Source organism: Homo sapiens, chromosome 11, assembly GCF_000001405.40.
Source record: "Homo sapiens chromosome 11, GRCh38.p14 Primary Assembly".
Taxonomy (NCBI): domain Eukaryota; kingdom Metazoa; phylum Chordata; class Mammalia; order Primates; family Hominidae; genus Homo; species Homo sapiens.
In genome coordinates, this window is record NC_000011.10 from 64,745,963 (window position 1) to 64,764,080 (window position 18,118).

General features: G+C 56.7%; 1 protein-coding gene across 2 annotated transcripts, besides 12 other annotated features; it reads right to left on the minus strand.

Moving 5' to 3' along the window:
• Positions 17-406: a silencer, noted in NCBI's record as "silent region_3487". NCBI's record gives its function as "represses an Ori minimal core promoter by ATAC-STARR-seq in GM12878 lymphoblastoid cells {active_cell/tissue: GM12878}" and the evidence as "EXISTENCE:reporter gene assay evidence [ECO:0000049][PMID:35858748]".
• On the minus strand, positions 427-14,753 carry PYGM (glycogen phosphorylase, muscle associated). 2 transcript variants are annotated; one of them, NM_005609.4, is made up of 20 exons: positions 13,694-14,012; positions 12,641-12,742; positions 12,475-12,553; positions 12,284-12,387; positions 11,817-11,948; positions 9,485-9,596; positions 9,311-9,393; positions 8,731-8,874; positions 8,291-8,383; positions 7,917-8,063; positions 7,557-7,720; positions 7,111-7,225; positions 6,441-6,542; positions 5,962-6,109; positions 5,635-5,693; positions 5,363-5,504; positions 4,414-4,621; positions 1,262-1,396; positions 959-1,025; positions 436-846 (listed from the first exon to the last, which is right to left on the minus strand). In NM_005609.4, the coding sequence occupies exons 1-20, from the start codon at positions 13,934-13,936 to the stop codon at positions 697-699; spliced, it is 2,529 nt and encodes an 842-aa protein (NP_005600.1). In that variant the 5' UTR covers positions 13,937-14,012; the 3' UTR covers positions 436-696. The 2 variants fall into 2 exon arrangements, with proteins under 2 accessions (NP_001158188.1, NP_005600.1); NM_001164716.1 differs by lacking the exons at positions 12,475-12,553; positions 12,641-12,742 and having other exon boundaries at positions 427-846; positions 12,284-12,304; positions 13,694-14,753.
• Positions 7,530-8,140: an enhancer, noted in NCBI's record as "H3K27ac-H3K4me1 hESC enhancer chr11:64520964-64521574 (GRCh37/hg19 assembly coordinates)". NCBI's record gives its function as "activates a minimal SCP1, AML or CMV promoter by ChIP-STARR-seq in naive H9 embryonic stem cells {active_cell/tissue: H9 hESC(naive)}" and the evidence as "EXISTENCE:reporter gene assay evidence [ECO:0000049][PMID:30033119]".
• Positions 12,013-12,717: an enhancer, noted in NCBI's record as "H3K4me1 hESC enhancer chr11:64525447-64526151 (GRCh37/hg19 assembly coordinates)". NCBI's record gives its function as "activates a minimal SCP1, AML or CMV promoter by ChIP-STARR-seq in primed H9 embryonic stem cells {active_cell/tissue: H9 hESC(primed)}" and the evidence as "EXISTENCE:reporter gene assay evidence [ECO:0000049][PMID:30033119]".
• Positions 12,718-13,421: an enhancer, noted in NCBI's record as "H3K27ac-H3K4me1 hESC enhancer chr11:64526152-64526855 (GRCh37/hg19 assembly coordinates)". NCBI's record gives its function as "activates a minimal SCP1, AML or CMV promoter by ChIP-STARR-seq in naive and primed H9 embryonic stem cells {active_cell/tissue: H9 hESC(naive and primed)}" and the evidence as "EXISTENCE:reporter gene assay evidence [ECO:0000049][PMID:30033119]".
• Positions 13,422-14,126: an enhancer, noted in NCBI's record as "H3K27ac-H3K4me1 hESC enhancer chr11:64526856-64527560 (GRCh37/hg19 assembly coordinates)". NCBI's record gives its function as "activates a minimal SCP1, AML or CMV promoter by ChIP-STARR-seq in primed H9 embryonic stem cells {active_cell/tissue: H9 hESC(primed)}" and the evidence as "EXISTENCE:reporter gene assay evidence [ECO:0000049][PMID:30033119]".
• Positions 14,127-14,829: an enhancer, noted in NCBI's record as "H3K27ac-H3K4me1 hESC enhancer chr11:64527561-64528263 (GRCh37/hg19 assembly coordinates)". NCBI's record gives its function as "activates a minimal SCP1, AML or CMV promoter by ChIP-STARR-seq in naive H9 embryonic stem cells {active_cell/tissue: H9 hESC(naive)}" and the evidence as "EXISTENCE:reporter gene assay evidence [ECO:0000049][PMID:30033119]".
• Positions 16,166-16,215: an enhancer, noted in NCBI's record as "active region_4909". NCBI's record gives its function as "activates an Ori minimal core promoter by ATAC-STARR-seq in GM12878 lymphoblastoid cells {active_cell/tissue: GM12878}" and the evidence as "EXISTENCE:reporter gene assay evidence [ECO:0000049][PMID:35858748]".
• Positions 16,246-16,565: an enhancer, noted in NCBI's record as "active region_4910". NCBI's record gives its function as "activates an Ori minimal core promoter by ATAC-STARR-seq in GM12878 lymphoblastoid cells {active_cell/tissue: GM12878}" and the evidence as "EXISTENCE:reporter gene assay evidence [ECO:0000049][PMID:35858748]".
• Positions 17,153-18,026: an enhancer, noted in NCBI's record as "H3K27ac-H3K4me1 hESC enhancer chr11:64530587-64531460 (GRCh37/hg19 assembly coordinates)". NCBI's record gives its function as "activates a minimal SCP1, AML or CMV promoter by ChIP-STARR-seq in naive H9 embryonic stem cells {active_cell/tissue: H9 hESC(naive)}" and the evidence as "EXISTENCE:reporter gene assay evidence [ECO:0000049][PMID:30033119]".
• Positions 17,256-17,305: an enhancer, noted in NCBI's record as "active region_4911". NCBI's record gives its function as "activates an Ori minimal core promoter by ATAC-STARR-seq in GM12878 lymphoblastoid cells {active_cell/tissue: GM12878}" and the evidence as "EXISTENCE:reporter gene assay evidence [ECO:0000049][PMID:35858748]".
• Positions 17,776-17,875: an enhancer, noted in NCBI's record as "active region_4912". NCBI's record gives its function as "activates an Ori minimal core promoter by ATAC-STARR-seq in GM12878 lymphoblastoid cells {active_cell/tissue: GM12878}" and the evidence as "EXISTENCE:reporter gene assay evidence [ECO:0000049][PMID:35858748]".
• Positions 17,926-17,975: an enhancer, noted in NCBI's record as "active region_4913". NCBI's record gives its function as "activates an Ori minimal core promoter by ATAC-STARR-seq in GM12878 lymphoblastoid cells {active_cell/tissue: GM12878}" and the evidence as "EXISTENCE:reporter gene assay evidence [ECO:0000049][PMID:35858748]".

The window sequence follows — 18,118 nt, forward strand, 5'->3', positions numbered from 1 at the left end:
AAGAGACCCTTAAACGCCGCAGTAGGGCGGGGCTAAGGGCGGAGCCAAGAAGGCGCCGAGCATCCTCTGCTTCCTCCCCCTCCTGGGTCCTGCCCTCGACAGCGCGGATCCTCCGTGGTCCGGGAAGCCTCAGCCCAAGTCCCGGCTCCCAGCCCCGGTGGGCCCCACCCAGGCAGACGCCCCGCCCCCGGCCAGCGAGGCTGGCCGCTGACCTAGTATGGACACGGCACTGGGAAGAGAGGCGTGGAGGGTGACGCCAGGAAAGGGGCTGGAGAGGCCTAGGCCCCGCCCCCACGGGTCGCCCCCTCCACCTCCCATCACCGTCCCGCCGTGGGACGCACCTGCCGAGGGTGGAGGATAAGGGGGTGACTGCGCGGCTGCTGTTGAGCCCGCCAAGAGCTAAAAATATTTCCCAACAAAGAGGAGTAAGGAGGCTCCCAAGGAGAATGAATTTATTAGGGAGTGGGTGCAGTTGGTCAGACCCCATAAATAGGAGGGGACCGGGAGCCCGAGGACGGAAGGGGGCCCGTGTCCTTAGTCACGCTGGACACTGGGACATTGAGAGTGGGGAAAATGAGGGTTCCAGGAGGGGCTTAGAGATCTAACTCCAGTACCCCACCCTCTGCATGAGGTGCTGGGGCTGGCCCAAGAGAGTGTGACAGACTCAAGGGCTGGTTTGGGGTCTGGTCTGGAGGCTCAGATGGCCTCATCCGGGGCTGGCAGGCGCTGGCGGGAAGGCTCCACACCCCAGATCTCCCGGGCATACTGGGCAATGGTGCGGTCACTGGAGAACTTGCCAGAGGTGGCTATGTTCCGGATCACCATCCGCGTCCACTCTCTTGGGTTCTGCAGGTCAAAGGGAAGCTCTGGTTCACTCTGCTGGCAGGATCTCCACCTTCTGCCTCATCCCAACCAGGGCCACCAAAGCCCTGCCAACCCCTGGCCCAGGACCCCTCACCTTGTACAAGGCGCTGACTTTCTCCTGGCATTTAATGTAGTCTTCATAATCTGCGAAGACTTTAAACCTGGAGGGGAAAGGATAGGCATGTGCTATTCCTTTAGGGGGCTAGGATAAGTTCTATGAGGTCAAGGGCCAAGCCTGCCCTGTCCCAGTGGACAGCCGGGGACCTAGAGGGTCATGCTGCTTCCAAAGGCGCCTGGCTCCAACTACCAGGACCCGCGTCCGGCTTCCCCACCACACACCTGAGCCTCGATCTGCCCTGCGGCCCCACCTGAGTGATTCCCGGGCCAACCAGCTCACCGGTCATGGTGCATGAGCATATTGACAATGTCCTTGAACAGGTCGGGCTGTTTGGGGGAGAAGAAGCCACTGCTCAGCTGCTCAATGACCTGCCGAAGCTCAGGAATGCGATCGTAGTACTCCTGGGCATTGTACCTGCCAGGACAGAGCTGTGGTCAGCTCCCCGGAAAGGGGTTCCTGGCTCCTCTTCCAGAGAAAAGCTGAGAAGTCCCATGCCCCAGGGTCAAAACCCAGGTCCAGCCTGCTGCTCCCCAGGGCTGCCACATCGCCCCTGCAGGGCCTCCCTGCAACTCCCCTTCTCTGCTCAGCTTTTCATCCCTCCTTTGTGAATGAAGAAACTGAGGCCCGGAGGATACAGAAAGCTAAGTGTTAGAGCCAAGGCCCCCAAACAAGCTCTTTTCTCCCACACGCCACTGCTGTCTCTTAACCAGTTTGTTTGCTCCAAAATGGCTTTTCTCCTCCAGTAGCCCAAGTCCATATCCGGCCTTGCCCTGGGGCAGCAAGAGCAGCTAACAGGTACAACCCTTCAACTGGGCCAGGCATGGTGGCTCACGCCTGTAATCCCAGCACTTTGGGAGGCCGAGGTGGGCGGATCATCTGAGGAGGTCAGGAGTTCAAGACCAACCTGGCCAACATGGTGAAACCCAGTCTCTACAAAAATACAAAAAGTAGCCGGGCATGGTGTCGTGTGCCTGTAATCCCAGCTCCTCGGGAGGCTGAGGTGGAAGAATCACTTGAACCCGGGAGGCGGAGGTTGCAGTGAACCGAGATCATGCCATTGCACTCCAGCCTGGGCAACAGAGCAAGACTCCATCTCAAAAAAAAAAAAAAAGATAACCCTTCAGCTGACCCTCAGCGCCCCCACCACGGCTCAAAGCGCTCCACAGGCCAGTCTCAAAACCTAACCGTTCCAACCAGAAACCAGCGCTCCCCACAAAATCTCTAATCCCTCGTGCGACTCTCTAGTCCCTTGTGCGACTCTCAGGCAACTCTCCCTGCATTATGGTGTCAGCCCCCACAGTGGTCCCCCACCTGCCCCCTCCAGCACTGTCTCCATCCTGCAGCCAGAGGGTTCTTCCAGGCCTCGTTCTGAGCATGCGGGACCATGCTCACAACATCTCACAGCTCCCTCCTGCCCATGGGACAGCCAGCTTTCTAGTGAAGCCTCACAGGAGACACTTCTTTCAGTGTTTAATGCCAACTCTGGGAAGCTGTTGTGGGAGTGTAAACTGGGAGAAACTTTCTGGAAAGCAGTTTGGCAATCTGTATCAAGAGCCTTAAGAACTCATACTTTTTAACTCAGAAATATCACCCTTCTGATAATTATCTTAAGGAAATCATCAGATGTGGACGTAGACATTAAAAGGTTGCTCATCACAGTAATATTTAACAAACCGGAAATTAACCTTAGTGTCCAGCCACATGGAATTGATTAAATAAGTTGTGACATGCTCATAGGATGGAATGTTATACAAACATTTAAAATATTTTTGAAGACTAATAACATGGAAAATCTCTCTCCAATGCTAAGATATCAGGATTCAAGCAGGGCGCGGTGGCTCACGCCTGTAAACCCAGCACTTTGGGAGGCCGAGGCGGGTGGATTACTTGAGGTCAGGAGTTCAAGACCAGCCTGGCCAACATGATGAAACCCCATCTCTACAAAAATACAAAAATTACCTGGGCGTGATGGTGGGTGCCTGTAATCCCAGCTACTCGGGAGGCTGAGGTGAGAGAATCACTTGAACCTGGGAGGCGGAGGTTGCAGTGAGCCAAAATCATGCCATTGCACTCCAGCCTAGGTGACAGAGTGACTCTGTCTCAAAAACATAAAAATAAATAGGCCAGGCGCAGTGGCTCACCCCTGTAAGCCCAGCACTTGGGAGGCCGAGGAGGGTGGATCACCTGAGGTCAGGAGATAGAGACCATCCTGGCCAAAATGATGAAACCCCGTCTCTACTAAAAATACAAAAATTAGCTGGGCGTGGTGGTGGGTATCTGTAATCCCAGCTACTCAGGAGGCTGAGGCAGGAGAATCGCTTGTACCCGGGCGGTGGAGGTTGCGGTGAGCCAAGATCGTGCCATTGCACTGCGGCCTGGGTGACAGAGCAAGACTCCATCTCAAAACAAAACAAAAGGCCGGGCGCAGTGGCTCACGCCTGTAATCCCAGCACTTTGGGAGGCCGAGGCAGGCAGATCACGAGGTCAGCAGATCGAGACCATCCTGGCTAACATGGTGAAACCCCGTCTCTACTAAAAATGCAAAAAATTAGCCAGGCGTGGCAGCAGGTGCCTGTAGTCCCAGCTACTCGGGAGGTAGAGGCAGGAGAATGGTGTGAACCCAGGAGGCGGAGCTTGCAGTGAGCCAAGATCGCGCCACTGCACTCCAGCCTGGGTGACAGAGCGAGACTCCGTCTCAAAAAAAAAAATACATTAAAATAAAATAAAATAAAATTTTTTAATGTAATGCCAGGATAATGTCTTCTCTGAAGAACTGTTTCTGACCATAGGCCCCTTGTAACTACTGTGCCCATATTTCCCTTTTGCCCATGGCTTTCAGGGAGCAAGGATTTTTTTTTTTTTTTTTGAGGCAGAGTCTCACTCTGTTACCCAGGCTGGAGCGCAGTGGCGCGATCTCGGCTCACTGCAAGCTCCGCCTCCTGGATTCACACCATTCTCCTGCCTCAGCCTCCCGATCAGCTGGGACTACAGGCGCCTGCCAACACGCCCGGCTAATTTTTTGTATTTTTAGTAGAGATGGGGTTTCACCGTGTTAGCCAGGATGGTCTGGATCTCTTGACCTTGTGATCCGCCCGCCTTGGCCTCCCAAAGTGCTGGGATTACAGGTGTGAGCCACCGCACCCGGCGTAGAGCAAGGATTTTTTTACTTCCATTTCCCAAACAATATTATCTCTTAGGGTTGATATAATATTCTCTTCCTTTTCCTTCAGTTCTATATTACTTCTTTCTTTTCCAATTTCATTAACCTTATTTGCTGTAAGCGCCCTCTAAAGTTTCCCAGAATCCTGCTGGCCATGACCAAGACCTTGCTGGGCCTGGACCAGTCTTTCCAGACGTGCCGCTTGCTCCCAGCACCACTCTCCAGCAGCCACACCTGGGTGTCTTTTGCCCGTGAACCCTGACCCCCATACCCTCTTTGGTCAAGCTTATCCACATCCTCCACCCGCATGCCAAAGATGAAGAAGTTTTCCTCTCCCGCCTCTTCTGCCATCTCCACATTGGCCCCGTCCATGGTGCCAATGGTCAGAGCCCCGTTGAGCATGAACTTCATGTTGCCGGTGCCTGAGGCTTCAGTGCCCGCAGTGGAGATCTGCTCAGAGAGGTCTGCAGCTGGGATCACTGTGGGGTGGCAGCAGGGGGACAAGTCAACTCAGGGAAGACCCTCACACCAGCTGGGGACTCTCAGATTAGGCTGGCCCCAGGCATAGCTGGACTCAGAGTCGCCCCACCCCAAACTCCCAGTCTTCACCAGCCAAGCCTCCCTCTCACACCGCACCCCCACTGCCCTCTACCTCTTGTTGATTCTTGACCATCTAGGTCCAACCTGGATTTCCCCACCTCTGTTGCAGATTTGAAGGTAATTTCACCCTGTACTGCCTGAAATTCCACCATTAGAGGGCATCCTCATGGGGTTTTTGCTTTGTTTTGTTTCCTCTTGTTTTTTGAGACGGAGTTTTGCTTTTGTTGCCCAGGCTGAAGTGCAATGGCGTGATCTCGGCTCACTGCAACCTCCGCCTCCCAGGTTCAAGTGATTCTCCTGCTTCAGCCTCCCAAGTAGCTGGGATTATAGGCACCTGCCATCACGCCCAGCTAATTTTTGTATTTTTAGTAGAGACGGGGTTTCACCATGTTGGCCAGGCTGGTCTCGAACTCCTGACCTCAGGTGATCCACCCACCTTGGCCTCCCAAAGTGCTGGGATTACAGGCATGGGCCACTGCGCCTGGCCTCCTCATGGTTTAAGCATTGCCCTCTCCAGATTCTTCTTTCAAGTACAAGTATCCCAGGAAGAGACGACTGATACCTCTTCCTGAGACTGAACTAGTCAGAGCCTCCCTAGGGTCCCTGTTGGCAGCACCCACCTTTCTCGGCCAGTGAGACTCGGTAGTTCTCCAGGAAGATGACACGGAGGCGGTCACCCACTGCCGGGTCATGGTTGACCACATCCCCGATGGCTGTGACGAGTCTGATGATCATCTTGGCCATGTGGTACCCAGGTGCAGCCTGAGGGGACAAAGTCTGGGGTCAGCTCTACTGCCTGGCCCCCCACCCCCTATCCTGCAACTCAGCTGGGCTGACCTCAACCTGGATATATCAAAGGACGGGAGCCCAGGGCTGGAGCCTGGCTTCTCACCTTCCCTCCAATCATCACAGTCCGAGGCACAAAAAACTTATTGGGCTCCCTCTTGATGCCTGTGGAGAAACGAGAGGGATCCAGTGGGCCTACCTTTCCCTCTGGGTAGTAGCTCCTGACAGAGGCTGGGCTGGGACACCGTAGGCCTGACTCGAACAATCACTTGCTATGCTCTCTTAGCCTCAGTTTGCCCATCTGTGAAATGGGGATAATTCCATGTCCCAAGAGTAGTCCCAAGTCCAAAGGAGATGTTGGTTGGGCAATATGTACTATGCCGCAGGAACACGGGGGAGCACTGAGAGACAGGGTAGAGTGGCTGCCACTCACGGTTGTACAGGGTGATGACATGGAGGCAGTTGAGGAGCTGTCGTTTATATTCGTGAATCCGCTTCACCTGGATGTCGAAGAGTGAGTTGGGGTTGATGTGGACTTTGTATTCCCTCTCTAGGTAGGCAGCAAACTTCAACTTGTTTTCCTGGAGGCAGAGACGGGGAAGGGCTCACCAACAGGCCACAGCCTCAGGAAATCCTACAGTCCACACTCCAGTCAGCCCCAGGAGGATGGCTACCAGGAGGCTCACTGGCTACTTCTGTCCACTCCTGTACCAGGGCAGACATTGCTAATCAATGTCAGCACTGTTCATGTGAGGTCAGATGATGCCTTCCCACCACAGACTCCAGGCAACTTCCACCAACGGCCTGGGCTGGCAGGAGAGATGAGCTCTATTTGCCACGCCTGACCCAGACATCTGGCCCCTCCAGCGCTCTCCACACAGCACAGCTGTCCCACATTGCATCTCTCCCCACCTGCTTCACTTTGGCCACATCCCGAATGAAAGCTTCATCATCCACAAAGGAGAGCAGTTTGCGCAGCTGGTCCAGGTCAGAGATGAAGTCCTCCCCGATGCGCTATGGGAAGACGGCTCTCAGCCAAGCCCATCCCCATGTCCTCCCTCCTCCCAACACAGAAGGGGCCATTTCCAGGTCAGCCAAGCCCCCTTCACCCAGCAGGCTGCTCTGGGGGCCCTCCCAGCCCCTCCTCCTCCAGCCGCCCAGATGGGGCACGGGGCATCCATGCACCTTCCTCCCCTCCCGTCCTTGAGCTCTGATGGCTGACCCCACCTGACCCCAGCAGGCCTTCCTGGCTTCCTGGCCTTTTCCTAACGCCAGCATGACCTTGCGCCTTCCCTACCAGATATCTGCCCCCTTCCAGGCTCACTTCAGATGTGACCCATGGATGACTCCCTCTGCTGTGTTCACCTCCACAGCCAGGGCCTCCATTAGCACACAGAGCACCCTCATGCAATTAAGATGGTGTCCCTCCTCCAGGTGGATGCGAGGCTTGGGGAACACAGTGCAGGAGGGATTTCAGCCTTCAGCTGGGAGCCCTGATGCAGTGAACCACCTACACGACCATACCCAGCTGATCCCTGCAGGGACCCATGTTGACTCTACTGGCCCTACGGTGGCCTCTCACCTCAGCAATGACCTCTGCCAGCCCGGGGTTACACAGAACCAGCCAGCGCCGAGGGGTGATGCCGTTGGTCTTATTCTGGAACTTATGAGGCTCCAGCTCATAGAAGTCTTTGAAGCTGCAGGATGAGGTTGGACGAGGGTCACCACTCACCCCTGTACAATGAAGGCCTCTGCCCTGGGGCCCCTACCCTGGTGTCTTGCTGAAAGGGGCCTGGGGCAGGGAATGCAGACCTGGGGAAGGTTGGGGGTGCTGTGTGTAAGAGGAGGTCATCTCAGGACAGGGCGGCACTGGAAGGGGCTGCTGTGCTTGTAAGAATGACGCCACCTGTGAAAGGCGCCAGGGCCCAGAGACCAGAGAGTGGTCGGTGAAGGGCGGGGCTTCTGTGTGACAGAGGCGTGGAGTGGGTGGGGCCTAGAGAGGGGCGGGATCTGGAAAGCGGGGCTCACATGGTCTTCTTGAGGATCTCGGAGTGGATGCGCGCCACGCCGTTGACGGCGTGCGACCCCGCGATGCACAGGTGTGCCATGTTGATGCGCTTCACTGCGCCCTCCTCCACCAGCGACATGCGCCGCAGCCGGTCTACGTCCCCTGGGAATGCGGCCGCCACCCGCTGTGCCCAGAGAGCCCAGAGCTAGAACCAGACCCAGGAACCCCCATCCCCAGTCCCCAGCCCCACACCCCCAGAGCTCTGCCCAGTGCCCCCACTGCCCCAGAGTCTCAGGGCCCTGGCTGGACGCCCCGACTCCCAGGCCCAGACTGGGTGTCCCCCCTCACCCCCACACCATCCCCCAAGCCTCCGGACTCACGTTGAGGAAGCGCTGGTTGATCTCGTAGATGATCTGGAGGTGCCGCGGCAGCAGCGTCTCCAAGAGGTGCACCGGCCAGCGCTCCAGGGCCTCGGGCAGCACCGTGTGGTTGGTGTAGGCACAGGTCCTCACTGTCACATCCCACGCCTGGCACACGGGGTGGGCAGTCAGGATGCTGACCTCAGCCCAGTGGGTCTCCTCACACACTACGCATCCCAGTGGGCCCCCCCACTGCAGTGCCAGGTTCCAGGACGGTCCCTCTGGCCTCAGGCTCTGATCCCTTCACTCCATTCATATCCTCCCACGCTCCCAAACTGGGAAGGGAACCCCGAGGCAGAGAGCATCAGATGGGGCAGAGGGGCCCTGAAGCCCACCTTGTCCCAGTCCATCCGTTCCAGGTCCACCAGGATCCTCATCAGCTCGGGGATGGCCAGGGAGGGGTGGGTGTCATTGAGCTGGATGGCCACCTGGGGTAGGGGGAGGGGTCAGTCTGGGCTCCAAACCACATTCCATGCTATGGTCACTGCCCTATGCCATTTGGAGGCCCCCAGAGAGCCCAGCACGGTTCTGTGACTGGGCTGTGGGCAGAGGCAGGCCGGTGCTCATGGGGGTGGGAGGAATGGGGGGAGTGGGGCGGGAGGAGGAGGGAAGCCCAGGTTCTGAGCCTGTGGATTGTGAATCCTGAACAACTGACCCTCCCACACTCCCAGTCTCCACTCCCTTATCTATTACATGGGGCAGGCAGGCCGAGGCTGGAGGGAGAGGCCTAGCACACACTGTCCGGTCACAGAGTCGCCCTCCACACGCATGGTACCTTATCTGGGAAGGCATCGAAGTTCGTGCGCACGGGATCACGGCAGCCGAACTTGGAAGACTTGAAGCGACGGATGATGTCCTGGAGGGTGGCAGCCACCACGAAATACTCCTGCTTCAGCCGCAGCTCCTTCCCTTCGAAGAACTGGGGACAGCATGAGGCAGCGTGAGTCAGGGCGGTGGGGGCATGGCCTAAAGCTGCGGTGGGTGTGGCCAGGAGGGACTCCCACCCATACCGGGACCCCTGAGCCCTGAGCCGGCCCCCTCTCTGGGACCCAGGGGCCTTTCCTCCACCAAGAACTAGTGGCGAGAGACAGTGTCAGGAAGAGGGGTACAAGAACCGAGTGTGTTGTGGGTGTCGCCAGGGAACAGCCCCTCCAAAGTGCCCTTCGCTAACCCAGTTTCCTCAGGACTCAGGTGTCCTTGCACTCAAAAGACTTGAGGTGGGGGCACAGGATGCACAAGGCCAGCAATATGCCCTGGGTGTGACTAGGGCACCAGCAAGTGTCCTTCCCCAGCTCTCCCTGACCCCTGCTGCCAAGGACTCAGGCTTCCAGCCCCCAGCCCAGGGGGTGACGCACATTATCATTGGGGTACAGGACACGAGAGATGTTCTCCGCCAGGTTTCGGTCCAACACAGCCTGGATGTAGCCACCGACATTGACTGAGGGACAAAAGTGGGGACAGGGTAAGGCCTGCGCTGGGCGTGGCCGGCGGGCAAGCTGGGGTTGCTGGCTACCAGTGGATGAACTCACAGTCCTTGAGGTTGAAGTCATTGGGAGCCTTGGCAGACCAGAGGCGCATGGTGTTGACAACATTGTTGCGATAGCCAGGCACGGGCGTATCGTAGGGCATGGCCAGTACCACCTGCGGGGGGCAATCCTGTCAGGAGCTGGCCAGCCCTGGCAATTGCCTCCCTCCCCTCAGGGCTGGGACTCAAGGCTTTATCCCTGCACTCTGCAGACCCAGGCTCTTGTCCTTGTCTAGCATCGATGAGCTGGGTAACCATGAGCAAACCCCATAGTCTCTCTGGACCGCATCTAGAGCAAAGACACCCTCAACACCTCCCCGACACCCATAAGCCCTGCCTGGGCAGACGGTGGTGAGGAAAATGGAAGGAGGCAGGTGATAAGCCCGGAACCCAGGAGGGGCTCTGTTGGCGACCACTCTGCAGCAATGGGGGCTGGGCTGGCCAGCCTGGCCTGAGCAAAAGCTAGAGGACACTGTGGACTCATGAGAGGGCTGGGGGAACCCAGGGCCAGGCTGAAGGGGTCACAGAGGTCAAGTCCATCCAAAGGTCTCATCTCTGGTTGACCACAGGGCTAATTCACGGTGACTAATTCTGCCCCGCCTTCCATAACTAGCAAACATCAATAATTGTCTGCTACCACGGTGCCAGGGGTACATTCACTCCTCTAAGCGAGCCCTTTTAAGGGGCATCGCCCTCCCTCCCCACATTCAGTCACCCTGATTGGTGCAGGGTGGGAGTTGACACAGAGAGAGGGAAGGGACCCATCCCCGAGCACACAGCCAGGCTGGCAGCACCAGAGGGAGCCAGGTCTCCTGCCTTCCAGCCACAGCCACTTGTGCCAGTTGCCACGTGCACCTGGCATGGACTGCCAGCAGCCCCCACTGCATCTTAACCTGGAGGACAACAAACAAATGCTCAGTTCTGAAAGCCTAGTGGTTTATCTGCAGCCCATCTGGGGGCTGATGACCTGAAGCTTCAGCAGGAAGATTGCCTGAACTGGGATTTGTTTTTTGTTTGTTTGTTTTTGAGATGGGACCTCACTCTGTTACCCAGGCTGGAGTGCAGTGGCACTATCTTGGCTCACTGTAACCTCCACCTCCTGGATTCAAGCGATTCTCTGGCTTCAGCCTCCTGAGTGGCTGGGATTACAGGCACGTGCCACCATGCCCGGCTAATGTTTTTGTGTTTTTAGTAGAGACTGGGTTTCACCATATTGGTCAGGCTAGTCTTGAACTCCTGACCTCAGGTGATCCACCTGCCTTGGCCTCCCAAAGTGCTGAGATTACAGGTGTAAGTCACCACGCCCGGCCTAAACTGGGATTTGTACACCTGGTTTGGTTTTAAGGTTTTCAGTTTTTGGTCTTTTTGCTTTTTGAAACAGTCTCACTCTGTCACACAGGCTGGCTGGAGTGCAGTTGTACAATCATAGCTCACTGCAGCCTTTAAATCCTGGACTCAAGTGATCCTCCCACTGAAGCCTCAGAGTAGCTGGGACTACAGGCATGCACCAGCACCCTGGCTAATTTTTTAAATTTTTTTTTTGAGACGAGGTCTGGCTCTGTCACCCAGGCTCCTGGGCTCAAGCAGTTCTCCCACTTCAGCCACCCGAGTAGCTGGGACTACAGGCGCACACCATCACGCCTGGCTAATTTTTGTATTTTTTGTAGACGGGGTTTCGCCCTCTTGTCCAGGCTGGTCTCGAACTCCTGAGCTCAAGCAATCTGCTCACCTTGGCCTCCCAAAGTGCTGGGATTACAGGTATGACCCACTGCCCCAGTCTATTTTTTTTATTTTTTGTAGAGACAGGGTCTCTCTATGTTGCCCAGGCTGGTCTTGAAATCCTGAACTCAAGCCATACTGTCACCTCGGCCTTCTAAAGTGCTGGGATTACGGGCATGAGCCACTGTGTCTAGATTTGGTTTGGTTTTAGGATCCCTCTAACTTGCTGTGTGATGAGTGAATTCCTTTCGGAAGGCTCCAGTTTTCTCCTGTCCCCCTTTCTGGGCTGCTGCTGTCGAGATGTTCAGGGCAGACTCAAGTCGCCAAGATGGTCCTTTGATAAATCTCATGGTGTGGAGTGGAGCCAGGTCATGGGGAGACACTGGGGGAGCAGGGCAGCCTCTCTCCCCTTCCAGACTCTGCACTTAGGCTGGCTCCCCTGTGTCCCTGTCTCCAGTCTCTCCTGGCTTCAGCTGTGTGACTTTGAGTAAGTCACTTAACCTCTCTGAGCCTCAGCATCCTCAGGTGTAAAATACACTGGGTCCTGCTTCCTCTCTGGGCTTCCTTCTCTTCCCTCCCCTTCTCTGGGCTCCCCTGACCCCCAGCTTCATCCTCACCTGTGTGTCCACCCACTTGGCACCCTGGCTGGTGTGCTCCACATGGCCGTAGAAGTGCACAGGTAGCGTGAACTCGGGCCGGGCCTTCTCCCAGGGGTTGCCGTAGCGAAGCCAGTCATCGGCCTCCTCCATCTGCACCCAAGGCAGGTCAGGGAGAAAGGCCAGCAGTATCAGTACAGGCACTCACAGTGCACGGTGGGGCAGGGTGGGGGCCGTGGGCCGGTGTACCCTACACCAAGTATAAGTCAGGAGCTCTGAGGTGGGCCCCTGGTCTGCTGGGCTATCGAGTGGGACACGGACCACCTGTTTCAGGGGCACCAGCTGGCTTTGGGTCGGGGGGTGGGGAGCAGCAAGGATGCTTTCCACAGAGCTTGCGGGGCTGTTTCGGACCTTGCCAGAGATGATAAACAAGTGGGGGTCTTCCCCATCCTGACTAGACCCCACAAGTTAGAGCCAAGGCTGCTCACCTGCCAGCCCCCGGAGATCTTCTGGTTAAAAATCCCAAACTCATAGCGAATCCCGTAGCCATAGGCGGCCAGGCCCAGTGTTGCCATGGAGTCAAGAAAGCAGGCTGGGGGTGTGCAGGGAGGTGGCTGTCAGGGACCCAGCAAGGAGGACCCCATCGGCCCACTCCACCCTCACGGCCCTGTCTTCTTACCTGCCAGCCGGCCCAGGCCCCCGTTGCCCAGCCCCGCATCCTCCTCAATTTCCTCCAGCTCCTCCATGTCCAGGCCCAGCTGGAGGAGTGAGGGTGACAGTGGTCAGGGTCAAGTGTCAGCAGTGGAATCCCCCAGTCCCCACGGCTTGCCCCACCCCACACACACCTGGTAGGTGGCCTCGTCACAGGCATTCTCTAAGGCCAGGTTCACCATGGTGTTCTGTAGCGTCCGTCCCATATAGAACTCTAAAGACAGGTAGTAGATCCTCTGCCCAGAGAGACGGATGGGCAGGGAATGGGGTCAGGGCCACACACCAACACTCAGCCAGGCCCAGCCACGCCTGGACCTCTGGCCCGCCTGCCCTGCTCAGCAGTCCCATCCCTGTCCCCAATTTGTTTCTCCCTGTCTCAGGCTTTGGGGCCCAGCGGTTAAGGTTCTGGTCCCAGCATTCCTCTGACTTTGGACAAATCACTCTCTTTGGCCTCAGTCTCCTCATCTGGGAAATAGCGCTGGCCATACCCACTTCAGGGACTGAGGTACTCGGGAGAATGGGCACCCCTTCCCCCTGCACACACCCCCAGAGAAAAAAGTCATTTGCTCAAGGTCACACAGTGGCTAGAGACTGGGCTAGAGACTGTCACCTCCCATCCTTGCACTGTCCAGTTCCCCTTGGCCCTCAAGCCTCAATCCCAAGGAGACCCAGAGGCACCAGAAACTAGGATGCTGCCAGTGCCTGGTCTCCCAGTTTCCTGGGTCCCCTCCTGGGCCGTCTGCCCGCCCCTCCCCCACTCCCCACCGAGGCGTGTCAGGTTGCTGACATTTACCAGTGACCCCACCGGACACTTGATCTCTGCCGCCCCAGCTGCCCCAGCCCCGCCTGCTGCACAGGCACACCGCGCATACATGCAGCAACTGATGTGTCCTTCCACCTGGGCCCAGCCAGGCCACAGGCGCCGTCCTGCCCACCAGCACCCACTCCAACCTTCTCCGAGTGGGCACTGACCCTTTGCAGCCAGCCCACCTGCTCTGAGCTCCCTGACCCCCACTCCTGCCCCAGGTTTCTCCCTCAGATTGTCCCAGCACCCCTTGTGCCTGGCACCCCTGGATTCTCCACCCCCAAGAACCTAGAGTGACGAGGGGCAGCCACTTAAGTCAAGATCGCCAGCTCCCTGGCAGCGCCTTCAGCCCATACCCCCACCCCAGGCTCCCCAGCAGCACCTTGGGGTCCTTCTCATAGTAGTGCTGCTGCGTGCGGATCCAGCGCCCCACGAGGTGGTCGCGCACGGTATGGGCCAGAGCAAAGTAGTAGTCTCGTGGGGTGGCCACATTGCGGTCCTTTACGAGTGTGAAATGCAGGTGCCGGTTGAAGTTCTTTTTCAGCTCAGTCACGTTCTCCACGCCGGCCAGGCCACGCACACTGATTTGCTTTCTTTTCTCTTGGTCTGACAGGGGCCGGGACATGGCTGCAGGAGGGCGGGCCGGACTGGACTGATGGTAGAGGGGACGGCGGCCTCAGCACTGCCTCCAGCCAAGGAGTGGAGCTCCCCAGCCTCAAGGGGATTTAAAGCCTGGCTCTGGGCAGCACGCCCCGCCTCCCCTGCAATGGGAGGGTCTTGGCCTGGCAGCTCAGGGAGCTATTTTGAGGGCAAGGGGAGGAGAGGAGAGGGGAGGGAGAGGTGAGCTCCACTTGGGCCGCCAAGACTGGCCTGGCTTGTTCACAGGCCTGTGCTGACCCACTTCCTCCAGGCCTTGCACATGGTCTTCTGTCCCTTGTCCCTGCCTTTTGGAGGGTTGGATACAAGAAGGAGCAGGCAGAGTGCTGGATTGGGGAGCTGTCTGTCAGTGGCTGAACCAGGATGGGAGGCCATGTGTTGTGGCAAAAGGAACCAGGACCCCCTGCAGGCTGTGGTGCAGGAGCCAAGTCAGTGTCCCCTGACGGAAGAGGTGCAACTAGCAGAGGCCACTGGATGTCTTTGAGAAAGGGGCCCACGACCCTGCATTGCAGGGGTGGTGTGAGGGAGGTTGTGTGAGGCAGGGCCACAGCCCTCACTCCACCCCCACCGAAGCTGAGCAGCTCTAGGCTCCCCCTGTTGCTGTCCCTCAAGGAGCCCTGAAGTGACCTTTTGGAGAGGGATGCTCAGGTTACTGGCCAGCATTGGCGGGAGGCCGCTAGCCTGCAGCACGGGGCCCTGGGAACTGTAGTCCTATAGGCCCTCGGCGGTGGGAGAAACTGAGGCATTCCCCACTCCATCATCATACTGGTTTAATGACAGTAAGTTCTCCCTGTGATTCCACTGCTTAGGAAGTGATTAGAGGCCTTCTTTCACTTCTTCCTGCCACCTGGGGCCACACTCTGAGCAGGATTTTGTAAACCAGCTCTGTGACCTGGCCTATAAAATGGGTGCCTAATCTGTACCTCGAGGACCTCACCCCATTTGTGTGCATAGCCCCACAGCTTTGAGCCCTTCCCTGGAGGCTTTGGCTATCCTCCCATTCACTGCTGTGTTCTGGCCCCAGCACTGACTTGCTGTGTGACCTCAAGCTGGTTGCTTTACCTTTCTGAGCTTTGGATTCCTTCACCAAATTTAGACTCTCCAATGAGAAAAAAAAAAATCCCTGCCTCTCAGCTGCTGCCTCCTCATCTTGTGAGGGCAGGCTTCGGATCCTGCTGTTCTTTAAGAGAAAGGAACCAGGACCTTGTGCTAGTTCAAAGGCTGTTTGGGCCTCCCGGGTGGTGGGCCGGTGGAGGGGAAGAGCTGGGTGTTCTGTTCTGAAGGCCAAGGAAGCAGGTCAAAAGCCTGGACAGCTGCAGGATACTATTGAGAGCCTGGTTCGGAGAAAGCCAAGCTGTTTCTGAGAACTTTTTTTTTTTTTTTTTTGAGGTAGAGTTTCATTCTTGTCGCCCAGGCTAGAGTGCAATGGCATGATCTCAGCTCACTGCAACCTCCGCCTCCTGGGCTCAAGCAATTCTGCCTCAGCCTCCTGAGTAGCTGGGATTACAGGCACCCACCACCATGCCCAGCTAAGTTTTGTATTTTTAGTAGAGACGGGGTTTCACCATGTTGGACCAGGCTGGTCTGGAACTCCTGACCTGAGGTGATCCGCCCACCTTGGCCTCCCAAAATGCTGGGATTACAGGCATGAGCCACAGCGCCCGGCCTCCGATCACTTTCTGAGCCATGGCAGACCCAGCCCTGGAATCACCGGCTTAGTATGTGGGCCAAACTTCAAGTCCTACAGAGGTCTCCAGGCTCCCAAGCCCTGCTCTACCCCTGCCCCCAAAAGGCACGGGCACACTGTCTTCTGTGGTGCCTGCCACATTTCCAAGTAGAGAAAAAAGATCGGGAAAAAAACACCAAAATACACCTCCACAGACACGGGGATGCAAACAACTTTTCCTTACATTTTTCTGTTAATTTCCAATTTCTCTTAAGAAGTGTTTCATAAACCATTAAAAAACAATGCTGGCCGGGCGCGGTGGCTCACGCCTGTAATCCTAGCACTTTGAGGCCGAGGTGGGTGGATCACCTGAGGTCAGGAGTTCGAGACCAGCCTGATCAACATGGCGAAACCCCGTCTCTACTAAAAATACAAATATTAGCCAAGCATGGTGGCACATGCCTGTAATCCTAGCTACTCGGGAGGCTGAGGCAGGAGAATCACTTGAGCCCGGGAGGCAGAGGTTGCAGTGAGCCGAGATCACGCCACTGCACACCAGCCTGGGCGACACAGCGAGACTCTGTCTCAAAAACAAACAAAAAAACAATGCTGGCAGCTGTCTGGTCTCTTCCCCTTTCACAGTTTGCACCCCAGCCTCAGCTCCTGGGCCTCATCCCCATCCTCCACTAAGCACAGCTTGGACTCCAGCTTGGCCTGGCATCCAAGGTTCTTCACAGCCCGCACTTGTCCCTTGGAGGGTTGCTGTGAGTAGAGCTGAGACTTCTTGGCAGTCCACTGCCAGGCAGGCAGTAGCTTGTTAACCATGCCGTCACCTCACAGCCCAATCGTGGCAGCCTGCTTTGGCCACACACACCTTCTTTGCATTGACCCCTATTTCCTGCAAGACTTTATGTTCCTGCCACTGAGGACCCGATCCCCATAGACCATCCACATCTTACAGGCAGGGAAGGCCAAGTTCATTCCATCCTTTCCCAGCTACTCTCCCCTCTTGCACCCAGGGCGCTTGCTCTCAGGAACATTTTTACTGGGAAATTTTTAACTTTCTCCAACTACCTTTTCTGTGGCTTCTTTCCGTCTTTGTCATGCCATCACTCCCCACTGTTTCCAGGCTTTGTCCCGGGGTGACACTGCATGCCCCAGCCCAGCATGATCACACCTGGGCAGCACGATCTCATCTGTTTCCCTGCTTCCTCCGCCCCTCCTTGGTGTTGTGTATGCAGGTTTAATGAACCCTGAAGCACTTTTACAACCTGAACTCACTCGAGGTTATTTATGTCTAAGTTTCTAACTAGAAACCCGGCCTCCTTCCTTGGACCAATCCTGGGTTTCTCCAGAGCCCTTGGCTGAACCTCAGTAACAGAGCCCTGAGGCTGACCTTTCCCCACTGGCATTCCTCTTGCCAGGCCTTGCCAGGCCTTGAGGGACGGGGACAGTGCTGCTACAGCAGCAGAAATGAACGTGAGGAGAGGGGGTGGGGCAAGCACAGCCCTGTCACAATGTGATGGAGTAAATGGCTTGCTTTCCCACCCCAGGTGTCTTAAGACAGGTGGGCAGGCCTTTCTCTCTCTGATTCTGCCAGAGGCAAGTGCTTGCCACGGTTCAGAGGGCCAAGCCTTCCTGCTGTCTCTTCCATTTCAGGGCCTCTAGCACCTTGGAGACTGATGCCTTAGTCAGCCACTTCCTCTCCAAAACCTTAACAAAAGCTGACGGCAGGGAGCAGAAAGGGAGGGAGCACAGGAATGGAGCTGGCCTGGGGGAGAGAAGCGGAGGAGATAGCTAAGCTGTGGTTAAGTCATTTATTGATTTTATTTCTAAAACCCACATAGCGCCACTTTGCCGCTTCCAGAGCTTCAAAGAGCTAATTAACCACCCAATGAGCCCACCAGGGAAACCAAGCTTGTGGGAGAAGCAATGAGGTGAAGCCAAGGTCAAAGAGGGTAGCCAGGCCCCAGGCCCTGCCCCCATTCTGCCACTTAAGGACAAAGGCAAAAAAGATGTCCTCCTTTTGGTGAGCCGAAGTTTAGGGCTTGGCTGGGGAAACGCACTGAGCCTGCCTTGCTTCTGAGGGCTCCTCAAGCCTGGCAGACCCATAGCAAAGCACAGGCCTCCTGGACGGGGGACCAGACACCCCAGTAAACAGCAGTAGCCAGCCCTAGCTCACAGCTGGAAAGCAGCCCAGGCCAGTTGCTGGCCCCAGCAGCCAGATGCTGGGGGAGCCTACTGTCCCTCAGCCGCCCTGAAGGAAGGAGAGGCAGGTGGAACCAGGGCAGCTCTAAGGCACCTCTGCCCAGGAGAGGACCTCACTACCTGGTGGAGACTCCACATGGATTTTTCTGGAACCCTAACAGTAACTACCCACTCGCCGCCCAAGACATGGAAAAAAAGCAGAAGACCCTTTGAAAAGTGCTTGCAAAGCACAAGATGGGGCACTTTATCCTGTCCCCCCGACCCCCGCCAAAGCCT

Excerpts from the sequence above, each read along its gene's own strand:
- PYGM (NM_005609.4), bottom strand. The coding sequence starts at position 13,936 with ATGTCCCGGCCCCTGTCAGACCAAGAGAAAAGAAAGCAAATCAGTGTG. Across the intron at positions 12,554-12,640 it reads GTGACGAGGCCACCTACCAG|CTGGGCCTGGACATGGAGGA; the intron begins GTGTGTGTGGGG and ends TCACTCCTCCAG. Across the intron at positions 12,388-12,474 it reads GGGCCTGGGCCGGCTGGCAG|CCTGCTTTCTTGACTCCATG; the intron begins GTAAGAAGACAG and ends GCACACCCCCAG.